Here is a 17,978-nt window from a genome sequence, read left to right on the forward strand (position 1 = left end):
TCTCTACAAAATTTTTAAAAATTAGCTGGGTGTAGTGGCACACACCTGCATCCCAGCTACTCCAGAGGCAGAGATGGGACGACTGCTTGAGCCCAAGAGTTTAGTTAGAAGCTGCAGAGAGCTCTGGTCATGGCACTGCACTCCAGCCTGGGCAACAGAGCAAGACCTCATCTCCTGCCTGGGCGTGCTGGTTCATGCCTGTAATCCCAGCACTTTGGGAGACCGAAGCACATGGATCACTTGAGGTCAAGAGTTTGACAGCAGCCTGGCCAACATGGTGAAACCCCATCTCTACTAAAAATATAAAAATTAGTCGGATGTGGTGGTGGGCACCTATAATCCCACCTACTCCGGAGGCTGAGGCAGGAGAATTGCTTGAACCCAGGAGGCGGAGGTTGCAGTGAGCTGAGATAGCGCCACTGTACTCCAGCCTGGGTGGCAGCACTACATTCCAGCCTGGGTGACAGACCAAGACTCTGTCTCAAAAAACAAATATCACCTCGTCTCTAACAACAACAAATGTGATTAACGTAAAATTATTAACATTTTACATTCTTTTTTCATAATAGATCTTTGAAATCCAGAGTGTATTTTATACTTACAGCACACCTCAATTTGGACTCACCACATTTCACGTGCTCAATACGTGATTATGTGGCTCGTGGCTACTACATAGGACACCACCAGGCTAGAATACATACTGGAAGCAGAAAACAAGCAGCTCTCCTCTTGGCATCGATAGTAAAACTAACAAGCAGATAATACCCCAGGCCCCCCTGGATATGCAACATCCATCTTCTGTGCTCCATTACAACATGTATGTGAGGAAAAGGGCAGAGAAATGTAAAACTCCTGAATCTCGAGCCAGGAATAATTTAATTGTTCTTAGCATAGAAAAGGAAAAAATAGCACTTACAGTAAGAGGAACTTTAAAATATCTATTTGACAGGTGATACATAATGTATAAGGAAGCTCTGCTGGCAGCACAAGGCACTGCCCAGTAAAACCGAGAGCTCAGCACAAAGAGTTTGAAAACACACCCACATGAAACTCAAAGCAAAATACAGTACAGAGACTGAGCTACCGATGAAAAATTTAATAAGTATGTCTCAAAGCACATGAAAGGAACCTGTGGCTGGAGATTTAAGGCCAATACAGTAGGAGACATCATTTCTTGTTTTGTTTTTTTTTTTTTTTTTTTTGGTCTGTTTGTTTTTTTGGCACAGAGTCTTACTCTGGTACCCAGGCTGGAGTGCAGTGGCATGATCTCGACTCACTGCAACCTCTGCCTCCTGGGTTCAAGCGATTCTCCTGCCTCAGCCTCCTGAGTAGCTGGTATTACAGGCACCCGTCACCACACCCAGCTAATTTTTTTTTATTTTTAGTAGAGACAGGGTTTCACCATGTTGGCCAAGCTGGTCTTGAACTCCTGACCTCAGGTGAACCACCCACCTTGGCCTCCCAAAGTGTTGGGATTACCACATGAGCCACCGTGCCCAGCCGCATATAGCTGTTTCATTGGCCCATATTCTAACACCTGGGAAACTTGTTAGTCTTCCGAATAAGATACAGAACACTCCTTGTGCACATTTACACAGAGTGGTCCGATGACATGATGACACTGTGTGACTGCTCAGAATGTGTGCCCTAACAACAGTTCCGTGACTCAAAATCAAACCACAGGGCATGAAGGCAGGGAGCATGCACTCCAAGGTAGAATACCCGGTAAGCGCATGAGTGAGCGGTCTACGCGAGCTGAGGACAAGTGACAGACACCTAAGAGCATCGTTGACTCTGGCTTCCCAAAGCTTGGCCCTGAACACAGGGAAAATGTGTGTGACGCCACCAAACACAGTTTGGGGCGCAGGCCACAGAAGGGCCAATGTATCAAATCAGTGCACTAACAAGCGAGATTCACTGGACAGAATATAAAGCAGGGGCCTGGAGACACTGGTTTCAGTATCAACTAGTAGGCTGATTTAAAAGGTAACAGAATAGGCCGGGTGCAGTGGCTGACGCCTGTAATCCCAGTACTTTGGGAGGCCAAGGTGGGTAAATCACTTGAGGCTAGGAGTTCGAGACCTTCGGGCTGGCCAACATGGTGAAACCTGTCTCTACTAAAAATATAAAAATTAGCTAGAAGTGGTGGCACATTCCTGTAATCCCAGTTATTCAGGAGTCTGAGGCAGGAGAATCGCTTGAACCCGGGGAGGTGGAGGTTGCAGTGAGCCAAGATTGCGCCACAGCACTCCAGCCTGGGCAACAGAGCAAGACTCCATCTGAAAACAAAAAACAAAGGCCAGGTACAGTGGCTCACGCCTGTAATCCCAGCACTTTGGGAGGCCGAGGCAGGTGGATCACGAGGTCGGATCCATCAAGACCATCCTGGCTAACACAGTGAAACCCTGTCTCTAATAAAAATACAAAAAAAAAAAATTAGCCTGGCATGGTGGCGGGCGCCTGTAGTCCCAACAACTCAGGAGGCTGAGGCAGAATGGTGTGAACCCGGGAGGCGGAGGTTGCAGTGAGCCAAGATCGCGCCACTGCACTCCAGCCCGGGTGACAGAGCGAGACTCCATCTCAAAAAAAAAAAACAAAACAAAAAAAAACCAACATGGTGCCATGTGTTCACACTTCCATTCTTCCATTCAGTTCCACATATCCCCATCAAGTTCACTGCCTTGTCTATAGGACTGACTTAAACCACCTCTAGAGTCAGGTGTCAGAATAAGAGCATTCCATCATCTTCAAAAACACATGCCTTTCACATGAGATTACTTGTTTTATTGAATATTAAAGTCACTCAGCCTGTCCTTTTTTCCATTCCTGTCATGACTATTTATAAGCACCAATATTTCTTCACTGATCTGCATCCCCTGTGTAATCCCATGAGACGTTCTGTCACTGCTGCATGGCTCCTGTTGCCGTCATTGCCTAGATTCACAAGGGACGCGTTCTCGCAAGTACTATGGTCAAAAAAGTCAGAAGGATTCCAGGAGCCGTAACTCTAGGTTTTTTTTAGTCTTTTGTCACTTTACTGTGCTAGGACCACTAAGATCTATTTTCACTGATATTTCTCTAAGTATGTGGGTATTTATGTATGCTTCATACACGATATATTATATATAACTTTTTAAATAGGCCAGACTCAGCTTTAAAATTAACACAAAGATTAAAAAAGCAAATAGCAGCCAGGCGCGGTGGCTCACACCTGTAATCCCAGCACTTTGGGAGGCCAAGGCGGATAGATCACCTGAGGTGAAGAGTTCAAGACCAGCCTGGCCAACATGGCAAAACCCCATCTTTACTAAAATACAAAAATTAGCCAGGTGTGGTGGTACACACCTATAATCCCAGCTACTCGGGAGGCTGAGACAAGAGAATCACTTGAGCAAGGGAGGCAGAGGTTGCAGTGAGCAGAGATCATGCCACCACACTATCTCAAAAAAAAAAACAAAAAGGAAACAGCAGCCGGGTGTGGTTGCTCACGGCCGTAATCCCAGCACTTTGGGAGGACAAGGCGAGCGGATCACCTGAGGTCAGACGTTCAAGACCAGCCTGGCCAACTTGGTGAAACCCCCTCTCTACTAAAATGCAAAAATTAGCCGGGCATGGCGGCAGCTCCGGTAATCCCAGCTACTCAGAAGGCTGAGGCAGGAGAATCGCTTGAATCCGGGAGGCAGAGGTTGCAGTGAGCCTAGATGGCACCACTGCACTCCAGCCTGGGTGACAGAGCAAGACTCCATCTGGGGGATGGGGGGCGGGAAGCAAACAGCATATCTTTAAGGATAAAGTACGAAAGATGAGTAAATATTGTAATCACTGTTTATTTAAAAGGTCAATGCCGGCCAGCTCAGTGGCTCACGCCCATAATCCCAACACTTTGGGAGGCCAAGGTGGGCAGATAGTTTTGAGCTCAGGAGTTTGAGATCATCCTAGGAAACATGGCGAAACCCTGTCTCTGCAAAAAATACAAAAATTAGCCAGGCGTGGTGGTGCGTGCCTGTGGTCCCACAGAGTGAGACCTTGTCTCAAACAAGTAAAAATAAATGGATCAATGTGAAAAGCCCATTCAGACACTAAAGGACTGACACAAGTCAGTAAGTATCAGAAAATTAACTGGCCCCTTAATTCAAAAGGAGCTACAAGGAAGTTTTATTTCCAATTTCTAACTGAGACAAACCTTACAGAGCAATTTATAAAATTAGCCTGCTAACCTTAAGTGTTGATTTGAGAATATCACACAATAAGACACTGACAGTAAATACAAAGTTTATGGTATCTTTCCAAAGTCAAGAGTAGACATACCCCTTTGAAAAATTATTCTGTGCTTAAGAAAATTATATGTATTTAAAACTTAAGGTGTGTATGACATAGTACAGAATACAAGTTGTACCTAGAGAAGTTTTAAAAAGGAAGGACAGGATTAAAAACTAACCCAGGGAGAAGGTTGGGGCATAAGACAATGTTTTTTTTAGAGATGGAACTCTGAGCTCTGATGCAACTGCCTGCAATTATGAATGCCTTTGCACAGCTCAGTCTGAGTGCAGATTTATATTCCTACTACTTAGCACGCAGAAAATAAAGAGCCTCCCAATGTTCCTCCATCTGCAAAAAAAAAAAAAAATGTTTTAAGGGAACATGGAAAGCTGAATAATTTGAGTTATTTTGTTCATTTACACAAAATTCTACAAAATTCCTGTGACTTTGTAACTCTAACACATACCACTAGCTTAAGACACAGATCTTAAAAGGGGCTGAAATTACTAGGCCTCTCTAGTATCTCCCAGAAGAACTTACTTAATGGGTCGGCAGCAGTCAATTATACTAACGTGTAAAAAGAAGCAATGTGCTTAATATAGCATCATAAAATGTTAGAATCAGAAGAGACTGTAGCAATCTAGTTCAACTCTCTCATTTTACCAACAAGAAAACTGATTCTAAAAAGTGAAATCACTTGTCAAGGTCATACTTACTTAACAGTCTAGGACTAAAACCCCAATCTCCAGGCTCCTGACCCTAATGTAAACTGATGAATAAATGTTTCTAAATTATTATATACAGCAGTGAGATCAAAGAGTCAATCTCAAGGCAAGTTAAAACTGACCTCCCCAGCCAAGGTGGTTCACACCTGCAATCTCAGCACTTTGGGAGGCTGAGGCAGGAAGATCACTTGAGCCCAGGAGTTCAAAACCAGCCTGGGCAACACGGCAAAACTCCATCTCTACAAAAAATTAGCCAGGTATGGTGTCGCGTGCCTGCAGTCCAGGCTATCTGGGAGGCTGAAGGAGGATCACCTGAGCCCAGGAGATTGAAGCTGCAGTGAGCTGTGATTGTGCCACTGCACTCCAGCCTGGATGAGTTTTTTTTTTTTCTTGAGACAGAGTGAGAACACGTGCTACAAGGAGGGTTTTTGGTGAGACCCTGTCTCAAAAAAAAAAAAAAAAAAAAAAAAAGAATTGATTTCCCTTTCCATTCTTCACAAAGGAAAAAAGTTGGCATATTGTTGCCTGCCCCTTAAACAGTCAGACATGGCCCACACCAAAAGCAAAAGCATACCAAAACTGCTCTGAACAAGAAAAGGGTACAAAGACAACTCCTAGAAGAATCAAGGTCTTTCATATTGGATTGGGTTTTTTTCTTTTCATAAAAGCTTTCTTGCCTGTAATGCCAGCACTTTGGGAGGCCGAGGCAAATCACCTGAGGTCAGGAGTTCAAGACCAGCCTGACTAACATGGCGAAACCCCATCTCTACTAAAAATACAAAAATTAGCCAGGCATGGTGGCGGGCACCTGTAATCCCAGCTACTCAGGAGGCTGAGGCAGGACAATCACTTGAACCCGGGAGACGGAGGTTACAGAGCTCACACCATTGCACTCTGGCCTAGACGATAAGAATGATACTCCGTCTCAAAAAAAAAAAAAAAAAGGTTCTTGTTTTTATTTTGCAAATGAGCAAGTTTAATAGTTGCTATAGGTCTTGAGAGACAATGGACAAATAACCACATTTTTTTGAGACATTTCTTTATTTTTTATTATATATTTTTTTGAGATGGAGTCTCACTCTGTCGCCCAGGCTGGAGTGCAGTGGTGCAATCTCAGCTCACTGCAACCTCTACCTCCCAGGTTCACGCCATTCTTCTGCCTCAGCCTCCCGAGTAGCTGGGACTACAGGCGCCTGCCACCACACCAGGCTAATTTTTTGTATTTTTAGTGGAGACAGGGTTTCACCGTGTTAGCCAGGATGGTCTCGATCTCCTGACCTCGTGATCCACCCACCTCGGCCTCCCAAAGTGCTGGGATTACAGGTGTGAGCTACCGCGCCCAGCCTATTCTGTTTTTAAGAGACTATGTTGCCCAGGCTGGTCTTGAACTCCTGGGCTCAAGAGATCCTCCTGCCTCAGCCTCCCAAAGTGTTGGAATTAAAGGCATGAGCCACTGTGCCCGGCCTATAACCACGTTTCTATTTTCACAATACTACAGGGCACCTTGATATTTTTTTTATTGTTTATTATTTTTTTGAGATGGAGTCTCCACTCTGTCACCCAGGGTGGCACGATCTTGGCTCACTGCAACCTCCGCCTCCCAGGCTCAAGTGATTCTCCTGCGTCAGCCTCCCAAGTAGCCAGGATTACAGGTCTGCACAACCATGCCCGGCTAATCTTTATATTTTTGTAGAGACAGGGTTTCACCATGTTGGCCAGGCTGGTCTCAAACTCCTGGCCTCGGGTGATCCGCCCGCCTTGGCCTCCCAGAGTGCTGGGATTACAGGCATGAGTTACCACGCCCAGCCTATAATATTTTTCTTTTCTTTTTCTTTTTTTTTGAGATGGAGTCTTGCTCTGTTGCCCAGGCTGGAATACAGTGGCATGATCTCAGTTCACTGCAACCACTGCCACCCAGGTTCAAGCGATTCTTCCGCCTCAGCCTCTGGAGTAGCTGGGATTACAGGCATGCGCAACCACGCCCAGCTAATTTTTATATTTTTAGTAGAGACAGGGTTTCACCATGTTGGCTAGGCTGGTCTCAAACTCCTGGCCTCAAGTGATCTGCCCACCTTGGCTTCCCAAAGTGCTGGGATTACAGGCACGAGCCACCACGCCCAGCCTATATTTCAAGAGAAGCAGTCTACTAAATTTACTCACAAATCCATAAGATAGTTTCTGTACAACCACCTTAGATGCTGTAAGTGGAAACTAGGAATTGGTTTCATTTGGATTTTAATTTTTTTCAAGACAGAGTCTCACTCTGTTGCCCAGGTTGGAGTGCAGTGGCTCAATCTCAGCTCACTGCAACCTCTGCCTCCCAGGTTCAAGCGATTCTCCTGCATCAGCCTCCCGAGTAGCTGGGATTACAGGCCCCTGCCACCACCCCCAGCTAGTTTTTGTATTTTTAGTAGAGACAGGCTTTCACCATGTTGGCCAGGCTGGTCTCGAACTCCTGACCTCAGGTGATCTACCCACCTTGGCCTCCCAAAGTGCTAAGATGACAGGCGTGGGCCACCGCGCCCGGCCTCATTTGGATTTTAAAATCTAACTTCAGTGTTTGTTATTTTTATTTTTTTTTTTTTTGAGACTGAGTCTTGCTCTGTCACCCAGGCTGGAGTGCAGTGGTGAGATCTCGGCTCACTGAAAGCTCCGCCTCCTGGGTTCACGCCATTCTCCTGCCTCAGCCTCCCGAGTAGCTGGGACTACAGGCGCCTGTCACCATGCCTGGCTAATTTTTTGTATTTTTAGTAGAGACAGGGTTTTGCTATGTTGGCCAGGCTAGTCTTGAACTCCTGGCCTCAAGTGATCCACCCACCTCAGCCTCCCAAAGTGCTGGGATTACAGGCATGAGTCACCATGCCTAGCCTCATTTCTTGCTCTTAATCTGCAATCCATTAACAGCTACAGTTTCCTCGAGAGCAGGACACATGACTGTTTTACTCAACTTTCCCAGTGTCTGGGCTAGTACCTCCCTATAGTAGATGCTTAATAAATATCTGCTAAATATAGAAACTAAAAGATAAAGGCATTCTTTTGTATACCATTTTCATTCGAAATGGTAACATACCATTGTTCTATACTTTGCCTTTGTAAAGTTATATTTATTTATGTATACACACACACACATATATATACACACAGACACACACACACTTTTTTTTTTTTTTTTTTGAGATGGAGTCTCGCTCTGTCACTCAGGCTGGAGTGCAGTGGCGCAATCTCGGCTCACTGCAACCTCCACCTCCTGGGTTCAAGCGATTCTCCTGCCTCAGCCTCCCGAGTAGCTGGGATTACAGGCACGTGCCACCACACCCAGCTAATTTTCGTATTTTTAGTAGAGACAGGGTTTTGCCATGTTGGCCAGGCTGGTCTCGAACTCCTGACCTCAAGTGATCTGCCCACCTCAGCCTCCCAAAGTGCTGGGATTACAGGCGTGAGCCACCACATCCGGCCTTATAAGTAATATTTTGAAGGTAAAAAGAAAAAGATAACAGGTTTGTTTCTCCAAAGAAGCTATACAAACGGCCAATAAGCACATGAAAGGATGTTCAATATTACTAGCCACCAGGTAAATACAAATCAAAATCACGATGAGATACCACACTGCACACTCACTAGGATGACTATAATCAAAAAGACATAGAAGTGCTGGTGAGGATTTGGACAAGCTGAACCTCATTCATTGCTGGTGGTACAACCACTTTGGAAAACAGTATTGTACTGCCTCAAAAGGTAGAGTTCGCATATGACCCAGCAATTCTATAACATTCTTAGGTATAGGCCCAACATAAAAGCAAGCATATGTCTACACAAAAAATTAGACACAAGAGCCAGGCATAGTGGCTTACGCCTGTAATCCCAGCACTTTGGGAGGCTGAGGTGGGCGGATCACCTGAGGTCAGGAGTTTGAGACAAGCCCAGGCAACATGGCGAAACCCTGTCTCTACTAAAACTATAAAAATTAACTGGGTGTGGTGGCAGGCGCCTGTAATCCCAGCTATTGGGGAGGCTGAGGCAGGAGATTTGCTTCAACCCAGGAGGTGGAGGTTGCAATGAGCCGAGATCACGCCATTGCACTCCAGCCTGGGAGACAAGGGCGAAACTCCATCTCAAAAACAAAAACAAAAAATTTATACATGAATGCTCACAGCAGCAGTATTCATGAGACAAAAAGTAGAAACAATCCAAAGGTTCATCAAGTGATGAAGAGACACAATGTGGTATTGGGGTATATCTACACAACAGAATATTACTCAACCATAAAAAGGAATCAAGGGCAGATGCATGCCACAACATGGAGGAACCCTGAAAACACTATGTTAAGCGAAGGAAGCCAGTCATAATGTATGATTCCCTTTATAAGAAATGTCCAGAATAAACAAATCTGTAGAGACGAGAGTAGATTTGCCATGTTGCCCAGGCTGGCATCAAACTCCTGGCCTCCTGCCTAGGGCTGGGAAAGTTGGCAGAAATAAGGAGTGACTGCTAATGGATACATGATTTCTTCTGGGGATGACAAAAATATATTAAAACTTACTTTTCCAAATGGGAGAAAAGGAAAAAAAATGAAAATATAATAAAACTGATAATGGTGATGGGTGCATAACTGCGAATATACTAAAAAACCACTGAATTGTATACTTTAAGTTACTAAACTGTATGGCATATGAATTATATCTCAATAAAGCTGTTATTTTTTAAAAAACTGGTGTACTTAGCAGTTTTCCTACTTACTATCTACAACCAGTTATTTTCTTTTTTTTTTTTTTTTTTTTTTTTAAGAGACAGGCTCTCACTCTGACACCCAAGCTGGAGTGCAATGGCACAATCATGGCTTACTGCAGCCTCAACCTCCTGGGCTCAAGGAATCCTCCCACCTCAGCCTCCTGAGTAGCTGAGACCACAGGTACACAACCATCCCTGGCTAACTTTTGTTTTTGTAGAAATGGAGTTTTGCCATGTTGCCCTGAGCTCACGGGATCCATCCACTTCAGCCTCCCAAAGTGCTGGGATTACAGGGGTGAGCCACCACACCTGGCCAAAAAAATTTTTTAATAAGAAGACTGAGGCCAGGCGTGGTGGCTCACCCCTGTAATCCCAGCACTTTGGAAGGCTGAGGTGGGCGGATTTCATGAGGTCATCAGTTTGAGACCAGCCTGGCCAACATGGCGAAACCCCGTCTCTACTAAAAATACAAAAATTAGACGGGCAAGGTGGCACGTGTTTGTAATCTCAGCTACTCAAGAGGCTGAGGCAGGAGAATCATTTGAACTCGGTAGGCGGAGGTTGCAGTGAGTCAAGATCACGCCACTGCACTCCAGCCTGGGTGACAGAGCGAGACTCCGTCTCTAAAAAACAAAAAAAAACCAAAGTACATACTCTAAAGTATCAAAAAGATTCCTCTGGGCAGTAGCATCATGGATAATTTGTTTTTTTCTGTGTTTTTGTATCTATGCAAATTTTATAATTTATACAATTAACCTACATATTTTAAGAAGAGAACATTATGTTACTAAAATGTAAAGCCCATCTTAAAACTAATACATAAAGAAAAAAATAAACCTGAGACCCTAAAAAAAACTTCACTGGAAAACATTTTCTAAAATCTAAACTTGACTAGATTCTCAAGATGACAACCTAAGCAAGCTACGTATCCCTTTCAACAGAAACTAGTCACATGGTTTCATGTAATAAAGACACCCACTTTTCAGAAACCCAGGCAATAAGTTTTCTTTCACTTAGGCTATAAAAAAAATCACCCTGCTTATAAAGTTTATTTACGGTCTAGAAAGGAAAAGTCTAAATAGGTCCCTTCCTGCTTTAAGGTATTAGAACATAATGTCTCTAATAAAAAGTCATTATATGGGGTAAATCAGGAAGAGAGAGGAGGCAAGAGGTCAAAGGCCTTGATTAAAAGATTTTCAGGAAAACATCCCTACTGACTCTTATCTTTCCTGAGAAGAGGGGGAGAATATGCCAAATATTTCACTACAATACTTGAGTAAAAGAAGGGATTTTTAGAATCGGGGGGAAAAAGACTTATTATATTGCCTCCCTTTATACATCAAACCCAAGTTTTGGATGATTTGCACACCCTGAACATCTGGATCTTCTGGGCCTTAACTTCGGAGAAGATATTATAAATCAAGGACTCGGCAATTTTAAGTGTTAAAAAGGGGCAGAGTTAAACTGGGATCTATCCAAATCATACTTAGACATAAGTAAGCAAAGGAGCAAACAAACACCAAACTGCTTAATTCAAGTCGGAAGTATTTTAGAGCTTACGCTTATAGAAAACATTAGGGCAGCAAAATGTCTGCCTGTAGTCTCATTAGCATTCCTGCAAAGAGGTGGATGAGAATAAACTTCCCCAGGGTAAGAGACACCAAGGAGGGTTCCCAATAGGGATTCTGTAATATGACTACTTCCTCTTTTGAGAGATTTTGAAAGCATACTTTTAAGATTTTGTTGCTGAACCACAATAAATAGACAATTAAAAAGTAGACCCACCCATTGAGTTAGTGCTAGTGGAATATGTCCTTCTGGAAGTGCCATATGGAGATTAAAAGAAAAAAAAAAAAAGCTCTTTACTCATTGTGGCCAAGATTCCTTGGTACTTGGTGCCAGGGCCAGGATATTACCCCAGATGTCCTAGCCAAATTCAAGGTTGGCTAATTACACTCTGACAAACTACAAGCAACAAAAAAAGTCTCCCTCTGTTCCCTTGATTGAAACCTGAAGAGGTCACTCTTCCTTGAAATTGTTTTTATTTTTTAATTTTGATTGAATTGTACACTTTAATATGTGTACTTTGGTTTTGGGGGTTTGTTTTTTGTTTGTTTGTTTTTTTTGAGACAGGGTCTCACTCTGTTGTCCAGCTTGGAGTGCAGTGGCGTGAACACAGCTCACTGTAGCCTCCTGGGATCAGATTTCTTGGGTTTAAGAGATCCTCCTGCCTCAGCCTCCCAAGTAGGTGGGACTACAGGCATGTATCATCATATTCAGCTAGTTTTTTTAAGTTTTTGTAGAGACGGAAGTCTCAATGTGTTGCCCAGGCTGATCTCAAACTCCTGGACTCAAGCGATCCTCCTGCCTTACTCTCCCAAAGTGCTGGGATTATAGACATGAGCCACTGCACCTGGCCAAATATCTGTTTTGTTTTGTTGTTTCTTTTTTGAGACGGAGTTTCTATCTTTTTGCCCAGGCTGGAGTGCAATGGCGCAATCTCAGCTCACTGCAACCTCCACCTCAAAGGTTCAAGTGATTCTCCTGCCTCAGTCTCCCAAGTAGGTGGGATTACAGGCACCTGCCACCATGCCTGGTTAATTTTTTGTATTTTTAGAAGAGACGGGGTTTCACCATGTTGGCCAGGATGGTCTTGATCTCTTGACCTTGTGATGCACCCGCCTCGGCCTCCCAAAGTGCTGGGATTTACAGGCATGAGCCACCACGCCCAGCCCAAAATTCTTGTACAGTACCATCGGTCATTATGGTTTCCCTTAAGAGTGCATTGTAACTCAAATGCCAACTTAAAGCATACGGATTCTTTGAGTTCCGCCTATATGGGAAACACATTATGTATATTAAAAATGCTAAAAAAAAATTAGCTGGGCATGGTGGCGCATGCCTATAATCCCAGCTACTCAGGAGGCTGAGGCATGAGAATCCTCTGAACCCAGGAGGTGGAGGCTGCAGTGAGTCAAGATTACACCAGTACACTCCAGCCTCGGCGACGGAGTGAGACTCTGTCTCAAAAAATAATAATAATAAATAATTTTTTAAAAAAACATAAGACGCTGTTAATAGTTTAAAGCCTCCCTAAACAGCTATCTAAAAACTCGTATCTTGGCAAATACTGACGACTGACACTGCTTTCCAATTAAGATTGAAAAGTGGCTGGGCGCAGTGGCTCACGCCTGTAATCCCAGCACTTTGGGAGGCAGAGGCGGGCGGATCACGAGGTCAGGAGATCAAGACCATCCTGGCCAACACAGTGAAACCCCATCTCTACTAAAAATACAAAAAAATTAGCCGGGTGTGGTGGCGGGCGCCTGTAGTCCCAGCTACTCGGGAGGCTGAGGCAGGAGAATGCCGTGAACCTGGGAGGCGGAGCTTGCAGTGAGCCGAGATGGCGCCACTGCACTCCAGCCTGGGCGACAGAGTGAGACTCCATCTCAAAAAAAAAAAAAAAAAAAAGTGTTATCTAAAGTTTTCTATTAAACATAGATTTTGGCTAGGCACAGTGGCTCACGCCTGTAATCCCACCACTTTGGGAGGCCAAGGCGGGTGGATCACCTGAGGTCAGGAGTTTGAGACCAACCTGGCCAAAATGGTGAAACACTGTTTCTACTAAAAATGCAAAAATCAGCCGTGCGTGGTGGAGTGTGCCTGTAATCCCAGCTACTCAAGAGGCTGAGGCAGGAGAATTGCTTGAACCCGGGAGGCAGAGGTTGCAGTGAGCTAAGATCGTGCCACTGCACTCCAGCTTGAGTGACAGAGGGAGACTCCATCTCAAAAAAAAACCCATAGATTTTGAACTATAAAACTTTAAGACTAAAAAGGACGGCTTTGTTACAAGGTGCGCAATTCCAGGAAAAAGCTATATACACCAATATCAAGTTATCAGGCCTCCCAAAGTTAAGCAAGATCCTGGGCCTGGCACGGTGGCTCATGCCTGTAATCCCAGCACTGTGGGAGGCTGAGGTGGGTGCATCATGAGGTCAGGAGTTCAAGACCAGCCTGGCCAAGATGGTGAAACCCTGTCTCTACTAAAAACACAAAAACTATCTGGGCGTGGTGGCAGGCGCCTGTAATCCCAGCTACTCAGGAGGCTGAGGCAGAGAATCGCTTGAACCCGGGAGGCAGAGGTTGCAGTGAGCCAAGATAGCGCCACTGCTCTCCAGCCTGGGTGATAGAAAAAAAAAGTCCTGAACAGTCCTGAACAGATGGATAGAAATAGGAAAGTATACACTCAATAGCACATCTGAACATCAAGTACTGGGCTGGCCTTTGTGCCATTGCCAAGGTATTCTGTACATTACTTAAAATAACCTAAACTGGGCTCAATTTCTATTCACTAGCTGTGTGGACTTTTAGGCAAATTAGGGAAATTCTTTGAGCCTCATTTTCCCCCATATCTTTATCTTCATCAAAATCATTAATAACATGACATAGTCAGCACAGTAGTACAAGCCTACAGTCCCAGCTACTGGGGAGGTTGAGATGAGAGGATCACTTAAGCTCAGGAATTTGAGTCTAGCTTGGGCGATATAACAAGACCCCTTCTCAAAAAATTAATTAAAAATAACATGGTGGCCGAGAGCAGTGGCTCACACCTGTAATCCCAGCACTTTGGGAAGCTGCAGTGGGTAGATCACCTGAGGTCAGGAGTTCAAGAGCAGCCTGACAAACGCAGTGAAACCCCATCTCTACTAAAAATATAAAACTAGCCGGGTGTGGTGGTGTATGCCTGTAATCCCAGCTACTTGGGAGGCTGAGGCAGAAGAATTGCTTGAACCCAGGAGGCAGAGGTTGCAGTAAGCAGAGATCACGCCATTGCACTCCAGCCTGGGCAACAAGAGCGACACTCCATCTCAAAAAATAATTATAACAATAACATGGTGCCCAGGTGTGGTGGATCACACCGGTAATCCCAACAGTCTGGGTGGGAGGATCTCTTGAGGCCAAGAGTTCCAAAAAAAAATTTGCTGGGCCAGGCGCAGTGGCTCATGCCTGTAATCCCAGCACTCTGGAAGGCTGAGGCAGGCAGATCACCTGAGGGTCAGGAGTTAGATCAGCCTGGCCAACATGGTGAAACCCCGTCTCTACTAAAAATACAAAAATTAGCCAGGTGTGGTGGCATGTGCCTGTAATCCCAGCTACTTGGAGGCTGAGGCAGGAGAATCGCTTGAACCTGGGAGACGGAGGTTGCAGTGAGCTGGGATTGCTCCATTGCACTCCAGCCTGGGGGACAAAAACAAGATTTTGTCTTAAAAACAAAACAAAACAAAACAAAACTTACTGTGTGTGGTGGTACACACCTCCTAGCTACTTGGGAGGCTGAGGCAGGAGGACGGCTTGAGTCCAGGAGTCCAAGGCTATAGTGAGTTATAATTGTGCCACTGCACTCCAGCCTGGTGACCGAGTGAGACTCTGTCTCTAAAAAACAAAAGCAATTTTTTAAAAAGGCATAAAATTATTCTGCCTTTTTTTTTTTTTTTTTTTTGAAACGGAGTCTCGCTCTGTCGCCCAGGCTGGAGTGCAGTGGCGAGATCTCCGCTCACTGCAAGCTCCACCTCCTGGGTTCACACCATTCTCCTGCCTCAGCCTCCTGAGTAGCTGGGACTACAGGCACCCGCCACCAAGCCTGGCTAATTTTTTGTATTTTTAGTAGAGACGGGGTTTCACTGCGTTAGCCAGGATGGTCTCAATCTCCTGACCTCGTGATCCACCCACCTCGGCCTCCCAAGGTGCTGGGATTACAGGTGTGAGCTACCGCGCCCGGCCAAATTATTCTGTATTTTTAAATATTTCAACAAATACATATTTTAAGGACTACAGCCTAGAAAGTCTTCAATGTCCTGCCTCCTCCTTCCTTCTCCCTAGGATGTTTTTCTCTCTGGGCTCTACATTCCTTCACTTCCTTTCTGTCTCTACTCGAAAGTCACATTCCCAGCTAGGTCTCCTCTTGCTGCCCTATGTAAAATTTCCATTCTTCTAACTCTTACCCCTAGTACTTTATACTTTCCCTTCTCTGATTGTTTTTTCTTTGCCATGTGTCACCTAACATACAATAAATTTACTTTTTGTTTATTGTCTGCCTTCTCTACTTGAAGGGAAGTTCCAAGAGAATAACAGGGATTTCTGTCTTTTATTCACTGTTGTATCACCATCATCTAGAACAGCACCTGGCACACGGTACATGCTCAATAAATATTTGTTGCCTGAATACCAAATGAGATCTAATTACAGCCCACAGATAGGTATACCATAGCTCATCAAGCTGCCTTTAGGGATGCTGTCACAGTTCAAAAATACTGCAAAAGAGAACTATAGATTTGCCATAATAAACAACACTGTCTACTCTTCATATCAAAGAAAAACACACTTGACCTTCCATCTCATTTCTACAAGAAAAGGAAAGAAATTGATTATTTGGATAGTGGGGCTGGGCACGGTGGCTCATGCCTGTAATCCCAGCACTTTGGGAGGCCAAGTTAGGAGGATTGTTTGAGCCTAGGAGTTCAAGACCAGCTTGGGAAACATAGCAAGACCTCATCTCTACAGGAAAAAAAATTTTTTTAATTAGCCAGGCATGATAGCATGCACCTGTAGTCCTAGCTACTCAGGAGGCTGAAGTGGGAGGACTGCTTGAGCCCAGGAGGGAGTTCAAGGCTGTAGTGAACTACGATTGTGCCACTGCACTCCAGCCTGCGTGACAGAGCGAGACCCTGTGTCTAAAAAAATAAAATAAAATAAAAATACTGCAAAGGAGAACTACAGGCTTGCTATGACTAATAAACATTGTCTACTCTTCATATCAGAGAAAAACACATTTGACCTCTCAGAGAAGAAAGAAGCTGATTATTTGGATAGTGAAAAGTCATACAAAGTGAAAGTCTCGATTTAGTTAATATATAGACAAAATTCTCTTGTAATGTTAACAAATATTAAACCCTCTCCCTGTGACTTTACTATACTACCTTCTGTTTTTTCCTTTGGTTTGACTTCTATAAAATCAATCTGACATTTATGAACCTTATATTTTCAATTAACCAAGAAACAGATGGGCACGGTGGCTCACACCTGTAATCCCAACACTTTGGGAGGCCAAAGCAGGTGGATCACTTGAATTCAAGAGTTGGAGACCAGCCTGGCCAACATGGTGAAACCCCAGCTCTAGTAAAAATACAAACATTAGCCAGGCATGTGACAGATTCCTGTTGTCCCAGCTACTTGGGAGGCTGAGGTGGGAGAATCACTTGAACCAGGAGGCAAAGGTTGCAGTGAACCAAAATTGCACCACTACACTCTAGCCTGGGCAACAGAGTGAGACTCTGTCTCAAAAAAAAAAAAATTAATTAAAAAAAAATAAGAAACGTTTACTGAGTACATGGAACTCCACAGAATTCTGCAAGGGTCCCGAAATGTGAAGACCCTGGCCTTGATATATCTATTCAAGGAAGACCAGAAATCTACCTGTAAGTAATAACGAAGAACCAGGTGCCCAGTATGTGAAAGGTTCAAAGGTGCCTACCTTTGTATGGGCCATAAGAGAATCAACTCATCTCTTATACACCATCCACTGGCTTTCGAATCCCAGCAGACAGCACTTAAAAAGCAAGAATCGGCCGGGCACAGTGGCTCATGCCTGTAATCCCAGCACTTTGGGAGGCCGAGGTGAGAGGATCACTTGAGGTCAGGAGTTCGAGACCAGCCTGGCCAACATCGTGAAACCCTGTCTCTACTAAAAATACAAAAACTAGCCCGGTGCCGTGGTGTGTGCCTGTAATCCCAGCTACTCGGGAGGCTGAGGCAGGAGAATTGCTTGAGCCTGGGAAGCGGAGGTTGCACCACTGCACTCCAGCCTGGGCAACAGAGCGAGATGCGAGACTCTGTCTCAAAAAAAAAAAAAAAAAAAAGCAAGAATCAAACATGACTGAGTTAGTTCATGTCCCTTATGAGTCACATGGGATGTGACAGAGTGAATTTTAGCCACTAGGTAAAAAAAATTTTTTTTAAGATAAGGACATCAGGCCAGGCGTGGTGGCTCACACCTATAATCCCAGCACTTTGGGAGGCTGAGGCAGGCGGATCACCTGAGGTCAGGTGTGATCAGCCTGGCTGGCCAACGTGATGAAACTCCATCTCTACTAAAAAAATACAAAAAATTAGCCAGGCATGGTGGCAGGCACCTAAAATCCCAGCTACTCGGGAAGCTGAGGCAGGAGAATCGCTTGAACCCAGTAGGCAGAGGTTGCAGTGAGCCGA

At 44.5% G+C, this 17,978-nt stretch overlaps 1 protein-coding gene across 16 annotated transcripts in view, besides 3 other annotated features; it reads right to left on the bottom strand.

Annotated features, from left to right (window-relative positions):
- CLIP1 (CAP-Gly domain containing linker protein 1) overlaps positions 1-17,978 on the bottom strand; it is a 151,488-nt gene that overhangs the window by 130,849 nt on the left and 2,661 nt on the right. The gene's annotated exons all lie outside the window — the stretch shown is intronic.
- Positions 1,292-1,341: an enhancer, noted in NCBI's record as "active region_7219". NCBI's record gives its function as "activates an Ori minimal core promoter by ATAC-STARR-seq in GM12878 lymphoblastoid cells {active_cell/tissue: GM12878}" and the evidence as "EXISTENCE:reporter gene assay evidence [ECO:0000049][PMID:35858748]".
- Positions 13,819-13,878: an enhancer, noted in NCBI's record as "active region_7220". NCBI's record gives its function as "activates an Ori minimal core promoter by ATAC-STARR-seq in GM12878 lymphoblastoid cells {active_cell/tissue: GM12878}" and the evidence as "EXISTENCE:reporter gene assay evidence [ECO:0000049][PMID:35858748]".
- Positions 13,919-14,038: an enhancer, noted in NCBI's record as "active region_7221". NCBI's record gives its function as "activates an Ori minimal core promoter by ATAC-STARR-seq in GM12878 lymphoblastoid cells {active_cell/tissue: GM12878}" and the evidence as "EXISTENCE:reporter gene assay evidence [ECO:0000049][PMID:35858748]".

The sequence above is a fragment of the Homo sapiens genome, chromosome 12 (genome assembly GCF_000001405.40).
Source record: "Homo sapiens chromosome 12, GRCh38.p14 Primary Assembly".
In the NCBI taxonomy this organism is placed as follows: domain Eukaryota; kingdom Metazoa; phylum Chordata; class Mammalia; order Primates; family Hominidae; genus Homo; species Homo sapiens.